The sequence below is a fragment of the Homo sapiens genome, chromosome 14 (genome assembly GCF_000001405.40).
Source record: "Homo sapiens chromosome 14, GRCh38.p14 Primary Assembly".
NCBI lineage: Eukaryota > Metazoa > Chordata > Mammalia > Primates > Hominidae > Homo > Homo sapiens.
The window spans coordinates 93,902,921-93,930,360 of NC_000014.9; the positions used below are offsets into that span (position 1 = coordinate 93,902,921).

Consider the following 27,440-nt stretch of genomic DNA (forward strand, 5'->3'; position numbering starts at 1 on the left):
CCACACTCACCCTTGTCCAGGGAGCTCTACCTGTAAGGGCCTCACCCTCATGCCAGGCTCCAGCTTGACATTCAGGTCTCAGCTGAAGTGTCCCCAGGGCCTCCCCGACCTGTCCATGGCCCTGTTGAATCCTCTGCCTGGGGCCCATCGCTGCCGGAAGCTCTGTTTGCTTAGTTAGTGTCTGTGCCTCCCCCACAGTGGAATGATCTGGGGCCTTCCTGGGGTCCTGCCACATCCCCACCTCCAGGAGATGACCCGGCACTGAGCAGGTACTCCAGGTGGGTTTGCTGTGGAGCAGGTGGAGGGTCCAGGAGTGCTCAGGACTGGGAAGGGGACACTGCTTTGGAGGAGCAGGGAAAAGAGCTCAGGCAGAGAGAATGAGGGTGGGCGGTAGAGGGGACCAGTGGGGGAGGCCACATGCCAGACCCCCGGGGCTGATGCTGCTGCAGCCCTCAGAGCACCCTCTTGGAATGCTGTCTTCGACTCTAGCCTTTGCTTTCACCGTGGCCACAAGCCTCCTGTGCCACCACACACTCACATTCTGATTGAAGCCCCTCTCTTCACCATCTCGGAAAGCAGCACTGCCGATGACCTCTCTGCACGTGTGGACTGGCTAAAGTCCTTTGCCACGCCTCCTAATGCTGCAACTTAATCATCTGTGTCTCGGTCTCACTCGCTCTTGGGGTGCATCCTCCCTGGGGTCCTGAGAGCCCAGCTTCCCCACCCATGTCAACATGAAACCATTGACCAGCTCCTCCCGGGGGCTCCAGACTCTGCAGTTGGAAGAGGCAAAAGTGCCCTCTGCTGGCCACTGGCTGGCTCCCTGCACCCCAGAGCAACAATCAGGAGTTGAGAGATGAGAAGCCAAGCTCAGCCCTTGTCCCTAACCCTTCTTGTCCTCCCCAACCCCACCCATCACCCGCCCTGTGTTCCCCCAAGTGCACATCTCCCCTCCTGGAACCCTCCTCTTCAAATCTTCCCTCTTGTTCTTCCACTGGTTCATCCACACCCAATCTACACCCCATCCACACCCCCATCATCTGTAAGACTCAAGTTAGTGTCACTTCCTCCAGGAAGCCTCCCCAGACTTCATCCAGGGGAACTGGCCTCGCCTGCCTTCTACTCTTGCCGTCCTTATGAGGACACTCCTCACAGTTTCTGCCACTGCACGGTCCTCATCTGTCCATCTGCCTCTCCCTGCAGGCGACTGCACTCCCTGGGGATGGGGACAATGGCCCTGATGTCCTCAACACCCAACCTAGAGCTGTGCAGGGCAGAGGCTCGCACGGAAAATGTTTGCTGAATGAAGTCAACTGACTTCGGAGGTTCTGAGCAGGACTTCTCTGAGGTGGGTGCCCTGGAGCAAAATACAATATACATATTGGGGAACAAAAACAATATACATAAATATGTGCTCATTAAGAAACATTTCAAACAACAGAAAAGTTTACAAACTAAAAAATGCAACCCTTTTCAATTGTTTCCCAGCCTACAACCTTTCATAAATCACTGCTATTCTCAGTGTGGGGTGTGTTTGTCCCAAACGTTCCCAAGCATTCCCTTTGACTTTATTTTACCTTTCTTCTTTTTTGTTTTTAACATAAATGGGGTGATACAGTACCTATAATTGTATCCCTTTTTTTCATGAAAAGATCCATCTTGAGGTCCTTCTAAGTCAGCAACTGTAGGTTTATGTCATTCTTTTTAGTGGCTGCAAAGCATACCGTACCCAAGTTCTGCCACAGTGTCTAAATCCGAGGCTTGTCAATTATATCTCAGTAAAGCTGGGGATAAATGCTAGGTGTTTGGTTTTTTGATTTGGTGGCTTTTTATTTTACTGTTTTTTGCAGTTGCAAACAACATTTCTGCAAACATCTTCATGCCCGACTCTTTGTGTCCATGTGCACATATTTCTCTAGAATTGACTCTTAGAAGTGGAAATGTTGAGTCTGAAAGCATATCTATTTCACATTCTAATGATACTAGCAAACTCCCTCCAAAAAATGGGTACCAATTGACACTCGCATCAACAATGCATACATGTCTGTTTTTTTCCACATTCTTGACAGCGTTGGGTGTTATTAGATGTAAAATTTTTTTGACACATCTAATCATCGCAACCTTCAAATCCGGCTTAACTCTGATTAAAGCGGGTATTTCCAGAAGCCCTCAGAGAACAGAGCTTCGGAAAGGGTGCATGGTAGAGAGATGAGCCTCTAGCCTCCCAGAGCAGCAGCTGGTAGCTCCACTTCCTTTTCCTTGTCCAGGGAAGGAAAGTCTCTCCCAAAACTCTTGGTCCTGGAGTCATAGCCCAAGCCCCTCAGCAGTTCCCTCAGGAGCAGAGGGTCTCCTGGGTCAACCAGAATCCCCACCGAGGTGGATTTGCTTCTGGCAACATCTCCAGTCTGAATGTGATCCCAGGCGATACTTAAGGAAGCAGCTCCCTCCTGTTCTCTGAAAAATGCCGTCTGCAAGGGAGAATATGCATTTGGGAGAACTGGAGAATTACAAAGGCGGTTATGCACAGTGAGCCCAGGAGAATATGAAACAAAGTGTATGTCCTGCAAGAACCACAGGTTTTGGAGATGTTAAGAGTGGCCTGCTGGGCCCACAGAAGGGGCTGCTGGAGCATCAGAGGGGCTCACCTCTTATTCCACTCCCTCCCCCCACGACCCTAGACAAGAAGGAATCTATTTGGAGAATGACACTTGGAAAGAGCTTGCCATTTGTGTTGCCTAAAAAGATATAGAGAAAGGAGCAACGGGGCATTTCCAACATTCAAACAGTGTCCCATTCATCCCAGATTCCGAGGTCCTCCTGGTCAGCACATGGGAGGTGCGGGGGCAGATGGCCCACAGACACCAGGATTGTGTTTGCAGACTTTAATCTCCTAAGAGCCCAGGGATGGCCTCCAGGGCTTGCTGGCTTGCCTGCCTTCCTGTTTTTATCCTAATAGGCCTTATACAAAGACTTTAAAATGACTCATGGAAAAACCCAAGCTAGGGAAGAGGGCTGGAGTCAGCCACCAAGTGGAGGATGGTGGGAGGCCCACAGGGACGCTCATCAGTGACCCAGGAACCTGAGTGGTCTCAAAAATGCATCTGCAGGAAGGTCAGGACAGGGAAAGTGGGTGCTGGGGGACACAGAATGAACGCTTATTGGAGAACGTCCTGGGAAAGAGAAAAACACCGGTGCTAAAATACATCCCCGAGATGGGCATGGTATTTAATTTCCAACCTGCTTCCATTTGTATGTACTCAGACATTCTTTCCTCCTATGAGGAAGGCAGAGTGGGTTTTATTAGCCCTATTTACTGATGCCCAGAGAAGGGGTGTCCTCCCAGGTAGCACCCCTGACCCAGAGGCAAGGCTCCTCCTCCCAGTTTCTTAGGAACTTGTGGGCCTTATTTGCCTGGCCAACTATTCTGCATCCTTTACGGCTCAAATCTGCCACCAGAGCTGTCCCCAAGGCCTCTACTATCAGCCCTTCTGCTTGTGTCCAACTAACACTCCGAGCCATGTCCTGTCATTGTGTGCTGTAACTCTGTCATCTTCGGGCTACACAGTAGGTAAACTCCTCTCCCACCTCCTCCACCTCCCCTGGCCTGGCCTCTCCCACCCGGCGTGGCTGAGCAGAAGTGTGTGGAATAGCTGGATGGGAGTGTCAGTAGATGCTAAGGGACAACTAGACATGTCACTGCAACCCTGAAGCCAAAGTAAGCCAGGGTGCCTCAAATGTGCACCACCTGCCTGGCAAAACCACTGTGGGGTTCTGAGGATCCCAGTTCTACTCAGGAAAAGGAGAAAGACAATCCTGGGATCCAGGTGGAGGGTGGAGGTAGAGAAGGAAAAGGAGCCGGAGTCTGGAATGCCTCAGAGGTGCTGGCACAGGGAGGGAAGGGGCAGGGCGGGGGCTACTGGCCTAGGCGCCTTCAAGAACGGACGGAAAGGCTTCTTTCACCGGAAGCACAGAGGCCCCGAGCAATTCCAAGGGCTCCCTCTCGTGGCCATTTGAGGCCAAAGCTGAGTGTTCAGGTGAATCCTGCATTTTCCTCTGTTAGCCAAGGGTGCAGAAAATGGGTTCAGAAGAGAGAGGAGGAGCACTGGTCTTGGAGTCAGGATTCATGTCCTGACCATGCCACTAATTCACCAGGTTGCTTTGGGCAAACCACTCCACCTCTCAGCCTCAGTTTCCTCACCTGGTTAATGAAGTGGTCTACCTGGCACCATGGCTCATGCCTGTAGTCCCAAAGCTTTTGAGGCCAAGGCAGAAGGATCATTTAAGGCCAGGAGGTTGAGACTAGCCTGGGCAACATATCAAGATCCTGTCTCTACAAAAAAAAATGTTTATGTAATCCCAGCACTTTGGGAGGCCGAGGTGGGTGGATCACGAGGTCAGGAGTTTGAGACCAGCCTGGCCAATATGGTGAAACCGCATCTCTACTAAACAATACAAAAAAAAAAAATTAGCCAGGTGTGGTTGCACATGCCTGTAGTCCCAGCTATTTAGGAGGCTGAAGCATGAGAATCACTTGAACCTGGGAGGCAGAGGTTGCAGTGAGCCAAGATCATGCCACTGCACTCCAGCCTGGGCAACAGAGTGAGACTCCATCTCAAAAACAAAAAAAATGTTTAGAATTAGCCAGCATGGTGGGGCGCATCTGTAATCCCCACTACTCAGGAGAATGAGGTGGGAGAATTGCCTGAGCCCAGGATTTCGAGGTTGCAGTGAGCCATGATCATGCCACAGCACTCCAACCTGGGTAACAGACTAAGACACTGTCTAAAAACAACAAACTAAGAGGGTTGGATGAGATGAATGGCTCTCACAAATGAGAGTCCTGAGATAAACACTCTGCACATGTTTCTGTAGCCTGTCCCAATGACATGGCAGGACTTTGGCTTTGAGATGATAGTGACATTGATGGGTTGTTTCTGTGCTTAGCTCCGTAGCACAGGCCAGCTCTGGGCTGAGCCCTCCACATGTGATGGCAGGCAGGTGCCACACACAGAGGAAGAGGCTGAGGGTCAGAGAGGTTACATGACTTACCCTTGGCCACTCAGTTGGTGAGTGGCAGAACTGGGACCTGAAGCCAGGTTTATGGCTCCAGAGCTCCCCAGTCTCCTCGCCCATGGTGTTTCTCATGGTTTCTAAGGTCCTTTTCATCTCCAACTATCTGTGATTCAAGGTGTCTGACGAAGAAAAGAGATTCACAGGAGAGAGTAGGGTCTTGGCAGGTAGATAAGATAGGAACCAAAGAGACAGTTGACAGGACAGTCAGGCCTAGAGCAACCTCATAGACGAAAAGCACGGTCTTTACAGGAGAAGAAATTATGACCACCACTCAATTAGCCATCAAAACTATGTTTTCTGGGCCACCAAGGAGCACAAGAAAGGGCCCCATTGTCCGAAAACATGTTGAACTAAAATATCATCAGACTTTTAAAATAAACTTTGCAACTGCCCACACCAAACTTGCTGTCTCTGAGCAGCCTGGAAGTTCTCGAATATCCATCCATTTATCCATCTGTCCAACCATCCATCCATCCACACATCCATTTATCCACCCACCCATCTCCCCATGCCTCCATCCATCCACCCATCCATTCAATTGCCCACCTATCTACTTATCCATCCAACCTGTCCATTCAGTCATCCACTTCCCCATCCATCCATCCACCCACCCATTTCCCCATCTTTCCATCCATCCATCCATCCATCCATTTACCCATCCATCCAACCCTGAAGCCAAAGTAAGCGAGGGTGCCCCCTCGCTTACTTTGTGCACCCTCATCTACCCATCCATTCATCCATATGTCTGTCCATCAAACATTGCTGAGCCCTGAGCTACTGGTGCCTTATTCTCAAGAGCTCCTAATTGGATATTATTGGATATTATATGTCTCAGACATGTAGGGCAAAAAATGCAGAAATGTGTTGCATTAATTATCTATTGCAACAGATTGCTTAGCAGCTTGAAACAACAAGCTTGGATTACCTCACACAGTATCTGTGGGTCAGGAGTCTGGGAGTGGCTGAGCTAGGCTCAAGGTCTTTCATGAGGTTGAAGTTAAGATATTGACTGGGAATGGAGGATGTGCTTCCAGAATACTTGCTTATATGGCTACTGACAGGAGACCTCAATTCTCCACTGGCTTTTGGCCCAAGTCCTCTCAGCTCCTCATCACATGGGCCTCTCCTCAGGGCTCCTTGAGCATCCCCACAACATGGCAGCTGGCTTCCCCTAGAGCTGATCCAAGAGATTAAGGAGGAAGCTGCTGAGCCTCTTATGACCTCATCTCTGAAGTCACAGATGGTCACTTCATATCATTCTATTCACTAGAAGAGTGACTAAATCCAGACCACACTAAGGGGAGGAGTATTAGGCTCCACTTCTTAAAGGGATGAGTATCACAGAGCTTTCGACATACTTTAAAATCATCGCATGTGTGGAAGGTGCTGAGATAGAGTGTGAAGGATACTGAGAGGCAAGAGGGAGAACGTGGTCAATTCTACCTAGAATAATAGAGGGAGTCAGAGAAGTAAAGTTCTAACGAGGTGATAACGAATGAGCTGAGTTCTGTCCTAGACCTGGAATGTGACCTTAAACAACCCACCATCCCTTCCTGGGTCTCTGTGTTGTGGAAATAAATTGGGACCACCCAAAGGAGATCAAACAGAGGCCATTTATTGTGTGCTTGGTATGGCAAGGGAATGGGCCACTGTCACTTGCATTTGACAGAGACTCCCAGGCAGGCAGGGTGAGGGGAAGCATCATAGTGAAAAGGGGGAGGCCTCAGGTGTGCCCTGACTGGAGGTTGTTGCATGGGGAAGCGGGAGGTGGCTAGCTGGAAGCCCGACATCTTATGTGATTGCATTAGGAGCATATTTGGCTTTCTTTCATGGGTGTTGAGTTGGAAGCAGTAGTCAACAATAGGGAAGCTGACCAGGATTGACAGAGCCCTGACCATTCTGGGCCCATTGCCACAGAGGTTTGGTTTGGCTTCATGTGCTGCTTGCTGCAGAAATTGTGGGCCAAGGTTCTCTTTTCCTACACAGGCAGGCCATTGTCTGTTTGTACTTTGGGCTTTCGGGGTCCTCCCCTGAAAATCAAAGGTTGGTTGGCTGAGCTCTGAGGTCCTGCCCAGCCCTGACATTCTGAGGATCTGGCTTCTTCACCTGGAAATGAGGTGTACAGAGATGGAGATGTACTGGATGGAAAAAGGACTGGCTAGTCTGAGGGGTGGCCATGCCAGAGGTGAGGCCTTGTGGACAAACTGGAGATGAAAGACAGGGAGATGCCTCGAATGGACCCTCTTTCCTGCGGGTACTCCCAGGAGTTTCCAATTCTCAGCATCCCAGCATCTTTGACTCTGGACATGGAAGGTTACAGGTCACCTCAGGCAACTTCCCCAGTGCACACACTGATGCTTAAATCTGCATTACTATCTTCTCCCCAACTGTCAGTCTTATTCTTGCTCGATTACCTCTGGAGACAGCAAGCTCACTCTCAGTGGAGACAGGGGTGTGGCCCATCTGGTCTGGCACATGAGGTGGCTTCCAAGATGGCTGGTACATGTGCTGTGCTCAGCCCCTGAGCACTCATCCCACCACATCCTCCCCAGGCTGACCCTGCCCTTCCCTCTTACCCCGTGCAACAGCGGCTGAGGATTTGCCTCAGGAAGGACCCTGGCAAAAAGAGAGGGGAAGGTTAGAAGGGAACCCAGCCTTTTCCAATGCCACCTCCATAGGGAAGCCTTTTTATCAGATTAGCAATGGTCTGGAGGAAACGGGACACAGGACTGGTAAATTTTGACATGGAAATGGAGATGAGGAAAAACCTGTAAGTGCTCTTCAACTGTTATGTCTTTGCTATGACAGCACAGACCTCCTAGTGTCCCCATCTCATCTGATGGTCACCATCATCCTGAAGGGCATGGCAGGGTCCCTCCTCCCAGGTCCCCCCTCTTAGGGTGTGACTCCACCACCTGCCTGCTTGCCCAAGCCTGCAAGTCTCCCTGAACTTTTCTTCTCCTTTGTGCCCCCATTTCTGACCCTATAAAGTCTATTTCCTAATGGGCACAGAAACCCATCCTTCCTGTCCCTCCCCGGCCACTGTAGTGCAATAGTCATGCCCAGAGGCTGAGGCTCAACAACCTGGGCGCAAATCATGGCACTGACATGAATAAGTTGTGAGGCCTCTGGTGCCCGATCCCCCCTTGTTAAGCCCATCTCTCATCCTCATAGCGTCCCTTCCCCACCATCCAGCAGGATGAAGCCCACCCCACCCTCCCTTCCTCTGTCCCAGCCTCTGCCCCATCAGCCTATCCTCCAGGTTCTATCACACCCAGTAGCCCACACAGAGGTCGGTGAGCAGAGGACTCTTTAGCCCAGCTCTTAATGAAGGAGATGGAGGGGTGGGGGCTTGGGAAATAAATATACCAAACAACTCAATGACACAGGCCTTTTCTGCATGGAATTAAATTCACATGCAGATGGAGGCAGTAGCCCTGTAGGTGGACTGCTGGGGTTTGTGTCTGGCTCTGCCATTTACTAGCTGTGACCTTCAACAAGTCACTTCCCCAGTCTGTACCTTAGCTTCCTCATCTTAAGATGGGCTGCTAATAGTATCTACTCATGGGTTGTAAGACAGATAGCCCTTCCCAATGCAGGTGGACACCATCCATTCTGTTCAGGGCCTGCATAGAACAGAAAGATGGAGGGAGAGTGAGTTTGCTTTCTGCCTGTGACTGCTTGAGCTGGGACATCGATCTTCTGCCCTCAATGTTCCTGGCACTCAGGCCTTCAGATCTGAACTGGAATCTCCACAGTGGGCTTTACTGGGTCTCCAGCTTGCAGACAGTGAATTGTGGGACTTCTCCAGCTTCACAATCACGTGAGCCAATTCCTTCTAATAAATCTCCTCGTATGTGTGTGAGCTGTTGGTTCTGTTTCTCTGGAGAACTCTGATTAATACACCACATGCTTAGAATAGTGGCTGGCACATAGTAGGTACTCAATGAGTATTAGCAAATATTACTATCTTACCTGGTTCCATAAATACTCTCCCACTGAAAAGGTGTTCCTTTGTGTCTCACCTTGGAAGTGACAAGGCCACCAAACCCAATCCTTGCATGTTTCTCCAGGAGGCCTCTCTGGTCTTGTCTGGTGTCCATGAGCCCAGTTGCACCAGGGACTCCAAGGCCAGGCCTGTGGGGTGCTGAGACAACTGGCCTCTTAGTGCTGAGTGGGCGCCAGGGTCCCTCTGATGGCTGCCACCTGCAGCCACCTCTAGGCCCCTGCTGGCCAGGAGGTATGGGAAGCTCTGGGTGCACACCAGTTTCGGGGATGAGGCTGGGATCAGGGAAAAAAGTATGTCTGCTTGTCTGGTAGGGTCTGCCTCCCAACTCCACATGACTCAGTTTAATTCAGTTAATTCCCAAAGCACTTCTGAGCCCCTACTCTGAGCCAGTTGGACTGTCAGGGCCCCAGAAATAAACCAGACCCAGTCCCTGTTTTTAAGATATTCCGCAGAGCCTCGATCTTTCTGCAGATGGACTTCAGGGGTTTAAGAGGGGGACTGCCGCCCCAGCCCACCCAAGTCACAACCACAGCTGATCCCTCCAACTCATCTCACATTTTGGTCTTCAGTGAGACAGTTGCTTAAAAGAAAAATTTGCTTTTTTCTTTTTCTTTTTTTTTTTGAACAGCCTTGGAAATAGGGCTCATATTAAACGTGGCCTTGATGTATGCGTTTAATTTTGACAGTGAATGAGGGAGTGAGAGGAAAGAGGGCAGCCCAGGTAGAGGAAACAGCTTGAGCAAAGGTGTGGCTGTATGTTTCTCAGAGGGGAAGGAGGGACATTTACTGAAGATTTGCCCAGAGCCGAGTGTGAGTGAGCACCCAGATATTCAGCTCTCATGAGAGTCCTGCAAAGAGTATGCTATTATCCTCATTGACTGATGAGGCTCAGAGAGGCAAAGTAAAGGTCAGGGCATAGGCTTGGGAATCACACCCAGCTGGGAGATTTCCAGCACACATGCGCTTTCTACTGCCAGAGGCTACTTGAGGGGAGGCAGAGTTCCAAGCAGGTTTCATGCTGGGTGTGGCCAAGACAGACTCCAGTTGCTGGGCTTGAGTTAGCATGGCTCCCAGATGTTAGAGCAGGCTCACTTGGCAGAGTTGGGCTAGCAGGGAGGGCTTGGGGCTGTCATCATTCACGGCCACATGGACACGGCTCAACCATTTATAATTAGAGTTATAACTTAAAACAATCAACAAAAAAGACTTGGTAAGTACCTTCACCTCCCAGCATACACCCATCACATCTATTATTGCCACAAAGAATTCGTGACCAAAGGAAGCTGGTTCAGAAGCCCAGCCCTGTGTTAAGGTCCCGTGGGGTCTGAGCAATGTGAAAATACCCTGGGAACAGATAGATCTCTTCTGTGTCCTCCCAAGGCCTCTGGAGTTCCTAGGATAGTCATCTTATAAAGTGGTTGGTGGGAAATAAGCCATGAAAACAATAGAAACGTGATAGGTAGGTAAGTAGATAGACAAGGGGATTGGATGGATGGATGGATGAATAGATGATAGATAGATAGATAGATAGATAGATAGATAGATAGATAGATAGATAGAACACAGATAGGAAGGGAGGGGGCCAGACTGGGAGTTGGCAAGGATAATGCCCCACAGTCCTGCCTAGCTGGACAGGACCAGGGCCAGCTAGGAGCAGGGAATGGACCGAGATGAGGCAGAGCTGCCACTGTCAGAACCAAAGGCCCAGAGGCTGCTCTGTGCAGGGGCTTCATCATCCCCCAAATACAGGGTTTGAATGTACAGCTAACTTCCCCAGGCAGAGATCTTGCTTTGATCAAAGCTGTAAGCCCAGAAAGTGCTGGCACATAGTAGGTGCTCAAGGCACACTTTTGAGTGAATGTGTGGAAAGGCTTGCCCACATCCTAACTGGACTTCGTAGGCAAACCGTCCTCCCAGCTGCCCCAGGCCTGGAAGAAGCAGTATGTGTGCCCCAACTTGAAGGGCAGGTGGTATCAGTAGCACTGGCTGTGGGGCCTGAGGATCCAGTGCAAGGCCTGACTTTGCTATTAACTGAGAGTTCAGTTCACCTTATACAACAGCCCTCTGAGGTGGACACCACTATCCCCATTTTACAGACAAGGAAACTGGGACCTCAAGAGATCAAGCCATTTGCCCAAGGTCACAGAATGTGGCAGTCGTAAAACATGGCCCCTCCAGAAACATTTTTAAAAGAAACAAAGAAAAAGAATTTAAAAAAAAACAAAAGAAAAAAACATGGCTCCAAAGTTCTTTGACCTTCCTCCCATTGAGAGATGCGGTCTACATCCTTACTCTTGAGTCTGGGCTCTGTGACTGCTTGGCTAAGAGAATACTACAGAAGTGATGTGGTGCTGGTTTTGGTTTCTAGGCCACAGTCATAAGAAACTAGCAGGCTCCACTTCCTGTCTCTTGAGATGTTTACATTTGGAACCCAGCCGCCATGCTGTGAGGAAGCCAGGAAGCCACAAGGAGAGGTCACTGGAGCTGTGCCTGCAACAGTCCAGCTCAGGCCACAGCCAGCAGCCAGCATCAAGGCCCAGACATGAGTGAGGAGGACTTTGAGATGGCTCCAGTCCCGGCTGTCAAATCACCCCCGGTCTTTGAGTCTTTCCAGCCCCAGACATTGCAGATGGAGATATGTGGCTCTCACTGCCCTTTCTGAATTCCTGACCCATGAGTACCGCTGAGTTCAGGGAGGTTGCTACAGCAATAGTGACAGGGGCACACATCTGACAGCAGTGGGGCCATGGCTGGAAAACAGGTCCTGCTGACACCAGAACCCATCTCTTCTCCACTGCCTCAGTTTACCTGGAGCATCTGCATTTCAGATGCACTGCCTGAGGTGATGGGGCCCTTGAGGGGTGATTGGGCCAAGCCTAGGAGGTTCATAAATAACACTCCCAGCTGCTCCGTGGGCTGGCGCATCTGTGTAGGGCTGGCCCCTAGGAAGAGACAGATGTGAAGTGTCACGGAGCTCCCTGAGCTCAGATGGGCGTGGATTCTGATCTCAGGTCTGCCAATTCCTAGCTGCATGAACTTGGGCAGGTCACTCTGTGCCTCAGCTTCCTCCTCTGTACAGCGGGGTTACGAAGAAGGACCCGATAGCCCTGTCGGTGTGTGAGATTGAGGCCCTGTGTGCCTCTGTGAACTGAATGTTATCAAAGCTCTTATTGGGGCTTAAAAGTCTCAGAGCATCAGCTTAGGATGGGCCAGCATTCAATGGGAGGGTCACAGGCCCCAGGGCAGGGCTGTACGGGAGGGGGAGATCCAGGCGAGGTCCGAGGTCCGAGGTCCTGAGTAGAATGCTCTCCTGCACTGTACCAGGGAGCTCTGTGCGGGAGTCAGAAGCCTGCGTCCTAGCATGGAGCTAGGGTGTTTCTGGGGACTGTGACCATTCACGATAGGACTCAACCTCCTTGGGGAGAGACCTGGCAAGGGACCTGCCAAGACCCTGGCTCCATGGCAAGAGAAACTGAGACAGGGGCCAAGAGGCGTGGGCTGAGCCAGTGCCCAGGAGTGTAGGAAGCTCTCATTCATTGACAGTGTATTTCCTGTGCACGTCTGGGTGTGAGGCTCTGTTCTAGGCATAGGGATACAGCAAGAAACAAGAACCCAAGTCCCTGCCCCTGTGGGACCTGTGCTGTGGTGGGCAGACAGGCAATGAATGCAATCAATACCCAGAGATCTCATGTACCCAGCGCCAGGGAGAGGAAGAAAGCAGAGAAAGAGGTGAGGTTGGAGAGTGGGAAGCCCGCACTAGCGAGTGAGTTGAAAAAAGACAGAAAAGCTGGGGAGGGTGAGCCGTGCAAGTATCCAAGGCAGGAGCTGGCAACATTTTTCCCTAAAGGACCAGACTATAAATACTTGAGGCTTTGTGTGCACTCTGGGGTCAGTCACAACCCTCAACTCCACTGTTGTAGGGCAAAAGCAGCATAGACAATATGTCTATGGCTGTGTTCCAATAAAACTGGCCTGGCTGTGTTCCAATAAAACTTTATTTACACAAACACGTGGCAAGCCTATCAATGCAACCACTCAGCTAAGGGAAGAGAATTCCAGGAAGAGGGAACAGCAAGTGCAAAGGCCCTTGGGTGGGAGTGAGCCTAGTGCCTGAGGAACAGCAAGAAAATGGATGTGGCTGGTGAAGGATGACCAGTGGATAAGGTTAGAAAAATAACTGGCAATGGAACAGGGAATGGGGAGAGAAGAGGCTCTTGCTTGACTTGGCCCTGTTCAGGGCTCATCCAGGGACCCTCACCCTGGGGATGTGGCTACAGACCCAACTCTAAGGTCCACTGAATACACCTGAACTCACATCCACTGCCATGCTTCTTGCTCTGGGGAGGATTGGCTGAGATCTGTTGAAACATCAGCAAGAATTCTCACCCTGGGAGTGGTCTACAGCCCTCCAGCCCACGTCTTCCCAGTCTTCTCCTTTATCTATATGCTTGTTACCAGTGGAGGGTCTTGACTATAAGTTGTCCAGGTTCTTGGCATTTTGAACAAAGAATTGGACAAAATGCACAAACAAAACAACAAAAGAATGAAGCAATGATTTACTGAAATCAAAGTACATAGTGGGAGCATACTTGAGCAAGTGGCTCAAGAGCACTGGTTGCAAATCTTCTAGGGTTTATGTACCCTCTAGAGGTTTCCCATTGGGTATACAGAGTTACACCCTATGTAAATAAAGACTTGGCCCATGACCAGTCTGATTGGTGACAGGAGGTGACCGATCAGAGGTACTTTACATTTTACATGTGCAACACAGTGGGAAAACGGGTAGGGTTTGCAAAGGGAGTAGCCTCTAATCCTTGTTACTTGGGTGTGGAAAGATGGTGTTTTCCTTTTGATTCAGTTCTAGGAGGTCCGTGTGAATTGCCTTTGGGTCCCTGCCTCCAGACCCTATTCTCCTGCCTCACGCTCTTCCTCCCAGTCTCCCCTCCTCCCCAGACCAGCAGAGCTAAAACAACCCCTATTCATCCTTTAGCCTGCTGAAAGTGACCCCAGCCCGGGAGCTGGGCACTGTTTCCACCAAGCTTATCAGATGAGGAGTGTGAGGCCCACACAGATGAAATCACTGCCCAGATGAGCGAGGCAGGAACGAAATGCAATTGTCTGACTCCTAAGGTGTGTGAGTGACCTCTGTGGGTGACAAACACGCTTCAAGGGCTTTGCCATGTGCCAGGCACTGGAATGCCATCCAAGGGGCCAACGTTGGTCTAGGAGAGCTCACCTTGGTGCTAGGGTGGAGGTATGGGGGGCCGCAGCGCTCACAGCAGTAACTCTTCATAGTCCCAGCACGCCCCACCAGGACCAAGTCAGGGAGCACGGGAATGGAATGCTGAGGCAGGTGAAAATGGCCCTTTTGCTGATGATGCAAATGCCCCTTTCCTGAGAGATGATGGCATATTCAGAGAAATTTGAAAAAGTCTGTTATGGGCTAGATTTGGGCTACAGACAGAGTTGTGATCAGAGGCCAGGAACTAAATGATAGATGCCGATGAAGAGTCTTCTATTACTCAAGTAGGACAGGTGCTCCAGGTGGCTGGGGTGGGGGCTGGGAATATGTAAGGCAAGAGGGCACAATGCCCACCGCCAACCCCACCTTCCCCTAAGGGCACTGTAGACACTGGCTGAGCCCAAACCCCAGCTCCTCTGCCACTAGGGGAGAGTTCTATCTCCCTGGTCCTAGTTTCTGAATCTGTCAAATGGGAAGAACAATACCCATCTCGGGTTTTATTGACTCATTTTGACTCATTGGTTTGTTTGTTTGATGAGGATTAAATGAGATGACAAATATCTAACTCTTGGGGCATTGCAGTATTCAGTGCAAGTTAGACCCCTGCCCCATCACTTTTCCCTTGGAAGCTCCCATCCCAGGAGGCAAGGGATCCTCTCTGACGACGAAGGTGTGCTGTTTGTGCAACATACCTGAGGGACAGTGTGGCTGGAGGGGTGGGAGCCAGGCACTGAGGATGCACTTGCTGTTTACAGATTGTTTTATGACTGGCTGTTGGAGCTCCTAAAATGGCTCAGGAGCCAACCAACCATTTTACTCTATGTTCTGATTTGTTTATTCATTCATTCATTCAGTCAGTCAGTCATTAAGCATGTATTATGTGCCTACTGCATGCAAAGATACATGGGGGATTCAACCTTTCTACTTAACCTTATCTCACCTCACTCCCTGCAGCGAACTCTCTTCGCCGCTGCACTGAGCTTCTCACTGTCTCCGCTCTCCAAAATGCCTAACACTCTCCGTCTCAGTGCCTTGACTCAAGGTATGGCTGTAGCCATCACTGCTGCCTCTCACCCCTGAAACAAAGCAGCATGTTAGAAGGATTTGGGTTCAGAGTCAGGAGGTAAGGATTCAAATCTTGGCTCTGTCTCTCACTAGCTGTTAAGGTCTTTAGTCTACCTGAGCCCCAGTTTCCTCATCTGCCAGATGGGAATGACATTAGGATCTATCACAGAAGGTTGTTGTGAGAATAAATACTATGAGATGTGTAAGATATCTATTATGGCTAAGTCAGTGCCTGGCCTGGAGTTGAAACTTAGTAACAAATGTCTGTTGAATGGACCTGATGAATTCTGGCCTGGGAGGTGGGAAACTTGAATCTTGGTCACAGGAATATGTGCTTGAATAAGTCACTGCTTTTCTCAAGGGGCTCCAATCCCTTGATTAAAATGGCAGGCTTGGATCACCAGAATGCCAAGTATTGACATCCCTGGCTTCCCATCCTGTGATTCTGACCTGGATCCAGGGACACTTGGCACACAGCCGGCTTCATCTCCATCCTCCCTCAGGGAAGACATCACTAGTAGATCAGAGTGTTCTGTCTACTGAGCCCTTGGAATCTCTCCACAGGGCACCTGCCAGTCATCGCCAATCAAACCCGAGATGACAGTTGAGATCAAACAGACTTTTCATTCCTGGTTGGTGCCTGGGAGAGTGACGAGGCCTATCAGTACTGGAGGACACAGTCAAGGTGATGGGTGTGTGGGGGTGGGGGAGCGTGCAGAGCAGGGGCGTGAATGTGGGGCGGTGGTCCATCTGGGATGCCCCGCAGGGCAGAGACACCACTACCATGTCACTTTTGTCCCACCAGCCCTTCTTTACAGCTTCACCTGAGCAGCCATTATATCCAGCCCAGGGGAGAGGCAAAGGCAAGGGAAGGGCACCGACTATGAACCAGGAGATTGATGTGTTTGTTGAGTTTTCATGGCTGATGTCTTAATCCTCATTATCAACCCTGCCAGGGAACTGCCCTTAGCTACACTTCAAGGGTGAGGAATAGGAGGCTCAGAGCTTACTGATCATGATGATTAATCATAAAATCACAGTAATTGGCTTGGGTTGCACTTCAGCTTCACCCCTTTTGGCTGTGGGGTCTTCGTCAAGTCACTTAGTCAACCTGTGCCTCAGTGTCCTCATTTGTAAAGTAGGCGTAATAGCAATATCCACCTCATTATGAAGGAGTTAATACAGAAGAAGTTTTTGAAACATTATTAGCATTTAATAAGAGGTGAGTAAACTATTTTCAAGGCTGTTGGCATGGATTTCGTATTCATTTTGCTACCCCCAGCACTTCAGAGAATGTCCTGTACATAGTAGGTGTCCACTAAATGCTTTAGAACCACTTGGTGAGCATTATTGACTCCCCAGGGAAGTCCCACGTGGGTCTTCTTGTTGCCGAGAAAGTCCCACATAGGTCTTTCTCGTTGCCAAAGAGGACATCTCAAAGAAAATAACAAAAATATACTGAGCCAAAGAAAAATGCAAACACAACATATCAAAATTTGTGAGATGCGGCCAAAGCAGTGCTGAGAGGAAATTTTATAGCACTAAGAGGCCTACATTAGAAAACAAGAAAGATCTCAATCAATGATCAAAGCCATGCCCTCAGAAAAAGAAAAGTGAAATAAGCCCAAAGCAAGAAGAAGAAAGGAAGTAATAAAGATAAAAGCAGAAGTCAATGATATTGAAAACAGAAAAAGAAATAAAAATAAAAAATAAAAAATAAAAAAAGAGCTGGTTCTTTAAACAGATCAATCAAATTAACAAGCTTCTAGCAAGGCTGACCAAAAGAGAGAAGACATAGATTATGATATTAGAAGTGAAATGCAGTCAGGTGTGGTGGCTCATACCTGTAATCCCAGCACTTTTGGAGGCTGAGATGGGAGGATAGCTTGAGCTCAGGGGTTTGAGACCAGCCTGGGAAAAACAGTAAGACCTCCTCTCTACAAAAAATTTTTAAAAATTAGCTGGATGTGTTGGCGTGAACCTGTAGTCTCAGCTACTTGGGACGCTGAGGTGGGAGGATTGCTTGAGTCCAGGAGGTCAAGACACCGCAGTGTGCCACAATTGTGCCACTGCACTGCAGTGACAGAGCAAGACCTTGTCTCAAAAAAAGAAGAAAGAAAGAAAGAGAGAGAGGAAGGAAGGAAGGAAGGAAAGAAGGAAAGAAGGAAGAAAGGGAGGGAGGGAGGAAAAGACAGAAAAGCAGGCTAAAATAGTAAATGTTATGATGTTATATCTTAGCATAGTACAAATTGTAAATAGGCTAAAGAAAAAAACACATGATCATATAAATTGATGCAAAAAATTCATCTGACAAAATTTAACATCCATTCACGACAAGAACTCCCAGAAAATTAGGAATAGAAGAAAGTATCCTCAACTTGATAAAGAGGATCTACAAAATTCCCACAGCTACATCATATCCCATGGTGAAAGACCAAAAGCTTTTCCCCTAAAATCAGGAACAAGACACAGAGGTCTGTTTGCACCACTCTTCTTCAACATAGAACTCTTTGCCTGAACCCCATCCCTCCTGAGACTCCACATGGTGAAGATGGGCTGAGCTCTCCTCTTTTCCTGGGGCTTGAGTCCTCAGACTCACCAGCTCTAACCCCACTCATTCATATCCCTTTCAAGAATGCACAGGGGAGTGTAAGTGGGCTTACCTGATTTTATGATGTTGAATCTGCTCAGATTTATACTAGGAAAAACCAAATCATTTGCCAAATATAAGTAGCACCGACTTGTGGCACGCTATCATATAGCACTGTATCACGATAGCACCATATCAATACCCATGTGTGCAGCACAGAGGTCAAGCATTGATGATGTAATTCAACCAGGAAACTGAGGCCCAGAGAGGGTGAGTGACTACCTCAAGATCACACAGCCAGGTAGGGGCAGAGTTCAAAGATCTTATCTCTGAAGCCCGTCTCCCTTTCATGGTACAATAATATGGTTGAAAGCACTTCCAACGTGGGACTTGATCACATTGATAGTGGTCTCTGTCACTGGAGGTGGACTGCAGCCAGGGGTGCTGGGGCTGGCTGAGCCGGCCTGTGACTACTCTGGGGCATTACAAGGTCTCTGCCTCCTCTGAGGGCACAGCCACACCAGGCAACTTCACCAGCACAGGAAGCCCTCGGCCTGCCAGCCAGAGGGGTTGGCTTTGACCTGGTGCCTCCTGTTCCCAGGAAGCAAGAAGCACGTCCACTCTGATTATAGCTGACAGCCTGCCGTGGGCTGGTCTTTGATAGAAATGCTGCCATTATGTAAGAGGTTACATAAATCATCTTGTGATGTCTGCGTCGCATGTCCACAGAGGCGCTGCCAGGCCACTCTGTCCTCCGCGTGGCCTTTGTTATGTTCCCCGAGCTGGTGTGGTCGGTCGGGCCTAACTCTCCAGGGCAGGGGTGGCTGGGAAGAGTCTGTAGCCCTGGGCTAGCAAGGCCCCTGGGAGGGAGATGGGGCCCTCATATTGGTTCACAGTTGTCGGTGGGAGCAGCATCTTAGGATCACTCCCACCCTAGCTTTGTCATTTACTGCCCATGGGACCTTCAGCAAGTCTCCTAGCCCAATTTGTGCCTCAACTTCCTCATCCATTAAAGAGAGTAACCGTGGCAACTGGGAAGAACAAATGACAATATATGACACATATTTCCATCAAGTAGGACTTTACACTCATATGATGAGGTGTGAGAAACAGCACAGGGTGGCTGGCAGAGCAGAGCTCCCTCCCAGGTGCTTCTCCTACCTGGCTCTGCCTGGCTTTGCCTTGGATGAATCTCTTCCCCTCTCTGGGCCTCTCTGTCTTCATCTCTAAAATGAGAAGTCAGCCCATCTTTTGGGACTGAATTTTCTGTAGAGGTGTGAAAATGTAAAATCTCCTTTAACATTTATTTTTGGCAATTTAAAACATTACCAAACATGTACCAACAAACAGATACATTTAAACGCATTTTAACTCACAAGGTGACACGCTAGGCTGCTGACTGGTGAACTTGGGCAGTCAGGTTAACTCCTGTGGGGACCAGGTAATAGTTTCTCCAGGGACTCCTTTCATTTGATGACCATCCTAAGATCATAAGAGAAGCTTTTTTAGGCTGGGCGTGGTAGCTGAAAGCTGTAATCCCAGCACTTTGGGAGGCTGAGGCAGGCGGATCACCTGAGGTCAGGATTTTGAGACCAGCCTGGCCAACATGGTGAAACCCTGTCTCTACTAAAAATACAAAAATTAGCCAGGGGTGGTGGCACACGTCTGTAATCCCAGCTACTCAGGAGGCTGAGGCAGGAGAATCACTTGAACCTGGGAAGCAGAGGTTGCAGTGAGCCGAGATCGCACCATTGCACTAGAGCCTGGGTGACAGAGCGAGACTCTATCTCAAAAAATAAATTAATTAAAAGATAAACTTTTTTAGAAAGTTGACATCTCAACTGCTTCTCTCTCTAAACCAAGATTTTGTAAATGTTCTGCAACCAAAACAAAGTATGGCTGATGGCTGATGTGAGACCATAATCCATATCTCCTGATTTCAAAGTTTTATATCATCAGAACAGACTCCTTGTTCTAATGCATTGTTTGCAAATAAGTAGAAGGTATGCATTTGAGCATGGAAAATAAATTTGTACTCATAGCCCATAGTTGTCATGGTTTTACATGTTGAATCTCCACATTTTTTTTTTTTGAGATGAAGTCTCACTCTTGTCCCCCAGGCTGGAGTGCAATGGCACAATCTCAGCTCACTGCAACATCTGCCTCCTGGGTTCAAATGATTCTCCTGCCTCAGCCTCCCGAGTAGCTGGGATTACAGGCACCCGCCACCACACCTAGCTAATTTTTGTGTTTTTAGTAGAGACGGGGTTTCACCATGTTGGCCAGGCTGGTCTCGAACTCCTGACCTCAGGTGATCCATCCGTGTCGGCCTCCCAAAGTGCTGGGATTACAGGCGTGAGCCACTGCGCCCGGCTGAATCTCCACATATTTTTAAATGGGCATCTCTGCTTCAAAGCAATTTGAAAACCCACTGCCCCAGATGAGCTCCTTGGGTCCCTAAGGCTTGGCCTGTGCATGCCCTGCCAGATGCCTCTTCTCACTTGCAGCTCCAGTCTACACATGTGCTGGCTGAATCCTATAAGTAGATGGTGTCTGTTGACATCCAGAGGTTCTGGAGGGGTGGCTCCCAGGAGACTGCTAGGTAGTTGTTCTGCTTCACTGATGAGTGGGCAGGAGACAAACGTTTACTTATCAAGATAAAGCAGGGAATGCCACCTCCACACCCTCTGGTCCCTGCACACAGTAGGTGTTGAATGGAGTTGATGCAAAGCTGGGAGTCCCTGCTGCAGGGTCAGCACAGTGGACTGTCGGGAAACCAAGGCAGCAACAACCGGTTGGGAAGGGTCCATCAGCGGCCCAGCTTATCCAAGTTCAGGGCAGTTGAAGCCAGCACAGCTCATGTGCCTTTAACAGAGCTTTACAGAACTCGGGCTCTGGTGCTGGGCGATGCAGTCGGAAAGAAGCGCTTCCAGCTTTCATGTGCCATAGTCCTGTAGGATTACAGACAATTCGTTGTCATGTAAGCCATAGCAACCACAAGCATCCTTCACTCAGGCCTGCTGTGTGCTGAGTCCATTCAAGTCACAGGAGATACAGAGACAGAAAGCTGTGAAAGAACTCCCTTCCCTTCTGGAGCTCACCTGGATGGGGCAAACAATAAACAGACAAAATTTAAAAAAATAAGACAGGAAGCAGCTGTTTACGGTTCACAGGAAAAATCCTGCTCATTGGAATGGGCAAAGTATTTAATTCTTAAAACATTTAGTAAGAAGCTACTCTGTGCCAGGCTCTAGTAGGAGTCAGATTACAAAGGGCCTTCTGCATTTAGCTAAGGAGGTTAGACTTCATCTTTGACTCTAGGAACACAGGGATGGGAGAGGGCGTTATTAACAATGCTAGGAGTTGGCGGAAGGCATCCTGGAGGAGGGGGTGTTTGAGCTGGGCCTTTAAGAATGGCTGAGAGGACAGGGTTGGCTGAGTTGGGCCCAAGAATCAGGTTTGAGGCTTCTGTGGGTGTGTCACCAACTGTAAATGGGAAAAATAATCCCCTCTCTGCCCAGACCCAGGACAATAATGAGAGAACACTGGGAGAGTCTTATGACTGGTGTGATTACTGCTGTCTTTCCACCTGCCTATATGGCCAATCAGAAAACACAGAGGAGCCTTCCCTTGTGTGGGTCAGAGGCATCCAGAGGCCTGGCCTCAAGCCACAGTTGCCTCCTCTCCCTGCTCCTGACTTCCCAAAGCTGCAGCTCCCATATTCCTGAGTTGGGAAGGTCCAACATTGTGCTAGAAGAGTGGAACCCAGGACGCATGGAGAAAATCTGGTCTTCCTGGCCGGCAGCGCTTAGGCAGCATCTGGTGCTCACGGGAGCTCCAGGAGGCAATGTGGCCAGGCAGATCCAACTCAGCCTTTGGACACAGACGGGCCTGGCTTCAAGTTCAAGCTCTGCTGGTTAACAGCTGTGAAGCCTTGGGAAAGTAACTCAACCTCACTTCATTTGTCAGGGCAACCACAACACTACCCTCACGGAGCTGCCCCGAGGGTCAGGTGAGGTCTTCATGTGGTTGTGGAATACGGCTCTTGGCACATGCTGGGTGTCCACAAAGAATCCATTTTCTTCCACTTTTCTCTCCCTTTCCTTTCTCTCTTCCCTCTTTTCTTCCTTCTCTGTTTCCTCAAAAAGTGTTTGGTGGAAGAACAGCCCACATTAAGAGCTTTGGAAAGACTTTCGTAAGACACCAACTCACCTCCCACGGAGTCCACGGGCCTGGTGGGGAGGCTTACTACTGGCTAAGAAAGGAGAGACAGCTTCATGAGCGGGCAGTGCAGAATGGGCCAGCAGGGCTGCAGGTGCCGTGGGATCTCAAGGAAGCTGGGAGCTGAGCTGAGTGGCTCTAAAATGTCTTGATGCCCTTAGAAGAGAGAAGATCTTCTGGAGAGAGGAATGATGCAGCCCCCACAAATCACAGAAGGCCTGGGGAGAAAAGGGCGAGCACAGCAAAGCAGGTGGTTACGTAGTCAGATGCCAGCTGCTGGAGAGGTTCAAACTGTTGGCTGTGCACACCAGCCTCACACAGTAGGCAGCAGGGAGCTGGCCCTGGTGGCCACAGGCCCTCAGGGCGCTCTCTTCAGCCACGCGTGCCAGATGTTTTGGAGCAGAAAGGATGTTTCCTGCTTGTACCAGTCAGGGTGGGCTGGGACGTGCTGCAGAAACACATAGCCCTCAAATCTCTGGCACTTAAAATGATGATGGTTTGGCTCTCACCCATGCAAAGGTTGCCGCAGGCAGGAGCAACCCTCCAGGGCACGTAGTGGCCAACAATCTAGGATGCGTCAGTCCAGCGGCACTTCCATCTCGGTCCACACTTCCCCGACCCCGCAGCAGGGTAGGGGCATGGAGAATACAGTGCTGGCTTTCAAGGCCTAAATTGAGTCACAGCTTGTCAGCACCGGGCCATCTCCTCCAAACCCTTCATTTTGCCTGTAAGGACCCTCAGGCCAGGGGTAGGGGAGATGGCTTGGAGTCAGGCCACAGCAGCTGTCTATTGGCCAGTGGGAAGGAGCAGGGCCATCACTTCTGGATGGAGGCCCTGGCTCTGCCCTGCCAATGCCCCCAGTCTGGGTAGGGAGACTCCAGGGAGGAGTCCTGCAACCTAAGATGCCAAATCTTAGGTTGTAGTACAGAGGTGTGGGTTGGCGCACAGGCCACCAGCCATCTGGCTGGTGAGGGAGACAGGAGGAGAAGGCAGTAGAAGGGGAAGAGAAAAGGAAGGGGAAGGAGAGGAGGAGGGAAGAGGAGGCTGAGTCTGGGCAGAAAAATGATGAGGCGTGAAAGGGGCCCGTGAGCTGGGCTGGCACGGAGGCACGACCATTAGCATTTCCCAGGCGGCCGCCCTCGCCTTCAGCCTCACCTTCCCTCTGGCCAGTTGGTGGGCAGGGCCAACAGCGGCTCTGGGCTCCCTTGCTTGCTCAGAGTGGCCCTGCTTGCAGCCCCGCCGGCGTTGGCACGGTGACAGTAGCCAAGTGTGCAAACTTGTCCCATTGTCCGCAGGCCAGGGGGAGCCATGGAAACTGGCTAATATGACACAGGAAAATGTTTGCTGATGGCAATTCTATGGGCTTTGTCCACCTCTTTCTCCATCATGACGACTCGATTTAAGTCCCTAACTGTTTGACTACAAATGCAAGGGGACCGTGCAACGCCAACCTTTTGTCCGGCTGCGCTGAATGGGCAATTCAGGCTTTGTGCAGCTCAATTGAGGAAGCAAACATAAAGACAAGATTCCTGAGAGCTCCAGCTCCCTTCCCATGGATATCCCAGCACCTCGTTAGAGAGTCCTTCCTCGGCCACCTTTTCCGACAGGCATCAGCGCACCTCCTGACCTTGAAGGCCCTCCATCCCCGATCCCTGGGGGATCCTGGCAGGGAGGGTGGTGGGGGTGGCAGGGGGAGACAGAGAGAGAGACAGAGAGACAGGAGAAGAGAGAGTGAGAGCGAGAGAGCCACTCAACACTCAAGGACAGCGGGAAAAGCAGCCCGCCCCGGCTTACCCCGTCCGATTGTCTGTCCGCACTGGAGCATGGCAGCTGTAGGCCTGGAGTCTTTGGGGGAGGTTTGCAAGCCTGTCTCCACTAGGCCCAGCCCCTTCTCAATCCTGGACATTTTAAACACACACACACACACACACACACACACACCCCACCCCCTTGAGAAACCAGGGAACTGAGGTCAAGGGGAGGAGGGGGGTGGAGGCTGAGGAGAGTGGGGCTGAAGGGTAGAAATTTACCGGGAAATGATTGCATTTGGGAGCTGTCTTTTTTGTGATGGTCCCCATGGTGACAATTTGTGACGGCAAAGAATGTGGGAACGGGGCGCCGCCGCCTGATTGGGATGCTTTGTATCTGGAGAGGCGCTCCTGATTGGCCTGAGGGGCCCCCCAGCTCCGGGGAGTTGTCCTCCATTCAGCCCACTCAAGGGTTGCACAACTGCTTCCAGCCGGACGGAGCTCGGCCGGCTGCGCCGGGGCCTGTCCCAGGTCTGCAGTGGGGAACCTGCCGGGCCACGTTGGTGGGGCCTGGGCCGCACCTTCGGTCAGTGTGGAGGCCCGGTGGCTCTGGCCCGACTGGGTGGCGGGTGTGGGGGCAGGCTGGGGCCTGGGGGAGGGGCGAGGTGCCGTGGGTGGCGGCCGAGGAGGCATGAAATTGCTGCAGATGCTTCTTCGGGGGAATCCCTGCTGCCCGCAGCCTGAGATCAGCCCGCAAGGCAGGTCTCGATTAAGTGCCAGACAGGGGTCCTGCCTGGTCCTGCGTGAGAGCTGGGGGTGGAGCGTGGGGACTGAGGAGGGGGGCTGGTGCTCCTCGTGCTGGGGGCAGGAGTGGTGGGAGGGGGAGGCTACCACCAGGGAGGAAGGGGGCTTGGCCTTGCTTTAAAGAGGAACAGTTGCCTCAGCTCAGAGAATAAACACCTCGCTGGCAAGTTGCACACGTTGGCAGCGTGGTGTGTGGGAGATGGGGCAGGCTGGGAGTGTGTGCCAGCCCCAGCAATGCCACCTGTAGCTGGGTCACCTTGGGCGACTTGCTTGACCTTTCTGAGCCTTGGCTGCAAGAAGGGGCACCAGACCCAAGCAGGCTGGGCGAGGCTCTGCTGGTGCCTGCCGCATCCCAGGTGTGCAGGAAGTGCTCAGCCACTTGCACCCACATCCCTCTACCCAGGACTCTGTTTAGGGCTGAGAGGTGCTGGGGTGGGGAGACTGTTTGTAGACAGGTGCTGTGGTCTTTTGGGAGGGCTGGGTGTGGTTGCTTGGAGAGACTCCGATGGCCTGTTTTGTCCCCCAGGTCAGCTCGGTGCCCTTCCTTGGAGCTGCCGGCCACCAGCAGAGCCTACCCTCTTCATGGAAAGCCTCGTGCAGTGGCCCCCTGGTGATGGCATCCGACAGTGATGTGAAGATGCTGCTGAACTTCGTGAACCTGGCGTCCAGCGACATCAAGGCAGCCCTGGATAAGTCCGCACCCTGCCGCCGCTCCGTGGACCATCGCAAGTACCTGCAGAAGCAGCTCAAGCGCTTCTCCCAGAAGTATTCCCGGCTCCCGCGGGGCCTTCCTGGCAGAGCTGCTGAGCCCTACCTGAAAAGGGGGTCTGAGGACCGGCCCAGGAGGCTGCTCCTGGATTTGGGCCCTGATTCCAGCCCCGGCGGGGGTGGGGGCTGCAAGGAGAAGGTGCTGAGGAACCCCTACAGGGAGGAATGTCTTGCTAAGGAGCAGCTCCCACAGAGGCAGCATCCAGAAGCTGCCCAGCCTGGCCAGGTGCCCATGAGGAAAAGACAGCTGCCCGCTTCCTTCTGGGAAGAGCCAAGGCCCACCCACAGCTACCATGTGGGGCTGGAGGGGGGACTGGGCCCCAGGGAGGGACCTCCCTATGAGGGTAAGAAAAATTGCAAGGGCTTGGAGCCCCTGGGACCTGAGACTACCCTGGTGTCCATGTCTCCAAGGGCCCTGGCTGAAAAGGAGCCGCTCAAGATGCCTGGGGTCTCCTTGGTGGGCCGCGTCAATGCCTGGAGTTGCTGCCCCTTCCAGTACCATGGACAGCCCATCTATCCGGGCCCCCTGGGGGCACTGCCTCAGAGTCCTGTCCCCAGCCTGGGCCTTTGGAGGAAGAGCCCAGCCTTTCCCGGGGAGCTGGCGCACCTCTGCAAGGATGTGGACGGCCTGGGGCAGAAGGTGTGCAGGCCCGTGGTGCTGAAACCCATCCCCACCAAGCCAGCCGTGCCCCCACCCATCTTCAATGTCTTTGGCTACCTCTAGCCACGCGGAGAGGGCCTCAGCCCCCACCTCTGGCCTGCAGGAGTGTCGAGGTCCCCGAGGCGCTCTCCTGTGAGGAGGTGGCTGGGCCACAGTGTGGCCTCTTCCGTTTGTGTGCGCATGGGAGTGGAGGGCAGGATTGGGGCAGGGCTCCTCAGGCAGTGACCCTTCAGCCTTGCAGCCTTGGAAGCTGGGAGGCTGGACCTGGTTGGCCCCTCCCCAGGCAGGCCAGGGCCCAGCAGCTTGTCCCGCTGTCCCTGTGCAGACCATAGGTACTGGGATGTTGCCCTTCCTTGCCTTGCAGTCACCCCAGAAGCCAGAGAGACGCATCTGTTTACCTGCCACCCACTCTGCGAGCCAATCTCAGTTGTTGTTCTTGTTCTTCTTGTTCTTTGTAAATATTGAGAAAGTTAAAAGAATAAAGACATTTCTTTTGGAGTTTCCATATCTTGGGTGTCATGAAGTTGAATGAGCCCCACCCAGGCTGAGGGCTGCTGGCAGAGGTGGCTGGTTTCAGGGAGGCCAGGAGCGGCTGAAACCTCTGAGATATCCGGGAATGGGCGCTGGGGGCCAAGATCTTGGTTCAAAGGAAGGAGGGTGAGGAGGGGAGCGGAGGAGCCACTAGGGAAGGACATGCTGGCGTGGACCCCCAAGGGGGTCCAACGTGCTCTGGAGAATAGGTGCTGGAACCAGGGGAGGTGGGGCTGCAGTATCAGCGCCGCCCTGTGCTGTGCGGCCAGACGCTTCCTCTGGGGGTCTCCTTGCCCCACCTGCAGGACAGTGAGATGAGAATGGGTCTCTCTGCAGTGTCTTCTGCTCTGTGTACAGCCGCAGGGCAGCCTCTGTGCCAAGGTGGTTGTGCCCAACTCTGGTCAGAGGGAAAATCAGGCCAAACAGGAGTTTGGTCCCTGTGGACAAAACAGGGGGCTTGACCAAATTGTTTCTCTTGTAAGCATGGTCTTGGAGTCTATGTCCATGGGGAAAATAAATCAATTTAAAAAATAATAGCGAATTCCCCTAAACCTCGTTCTCTCTGGCACATACAAAAGGATCCTCTCTAGCTAATTCAGACTCCAGGTTACCTGCTGATGGGTCTCTCCCCGGGCCTGGCACACACCAGGTGCCCCATCAATGGAATAATGAGGCCTCTGCCTGTGACAGTGCAGAGGGGAGCATTGGTGGCAGGAAGTGGCTCTGGA

At 51.4% G+C, this 27,440-nt stretch overlaps 1 protein-coding gene and 1 long non-coding RNA gene across 6 annotated transcripts; one reads left to right on the forward strand and one right to left on the reverse strand.

Moving 5' to 3' along the window:
* Positions 1 to 1,809: 1,809 nt before the first annotated feature.
* FAM181A-AS1 (FAM181A antisense RNA 1) lies at positions 1,810 to 23,452 on the reverse strand. Its single transcript, NR_027004.2, has 11 exons — positions 23,356 to 23,452; positions 20,481 to 21,080; positions 19,356 to 19,461; positions 19,141 to 19,245; positions 15,265 to 15,400; positions 14,319 to 14,476; positions 8,594 to 8,699; positions 7,650 to 7,689; positions 5,999 to 6,250; positions 5,050 to 5,192; positions 1,810 to 2,468 (listed from the first exon to the last, which is right to left on the reverse strand). It is a non-coding gene; the product is annotated as an FAM181A antisense RNA 1 (long non-coding RNA).
* On the forward strand, positions 15,974 to 26,688 carry FAM181A (family with sequence similarity 181 member A). Of its 5 annotated transcripts, NM_138344.5 has the most exons (3): positions 15,974 to 16,074; positions 22,128 to 22,450; positions 25,279 to 26,688. In NM_138344.5, the coding sequence occupies exons 2-3, from the start codon at positions 22,352 to 22,354 to the stop codon at positions 26,242 to 26,244; spliced, it is 1,065 nt and encodes a 354-aa protein (NP_612353.3). In that variant the 5' UTR covers positions 15,974 to 16,074; positions 22,128 to 22,351; the 3' UTR covers positions 26,245 to 26,688. The 5 variants fall into 5 exon arrangements, with proteins under 5 accessions (NP_612353.3, NP_001194000.1, NP_001194001.1 ...); NM_001207071.2 differs by lacking the exon at positions 22,128 to 22,450; NM_001207072.2 differs by lacking the exons at positions 15,974 to 16,074; positions 22,128 to 22,450 and adding an exon at positions 24,424 to 24,706.
* The last annotated feature ends 752 nt before the right edge of the window (positions 26,689 to 27,440 follow it).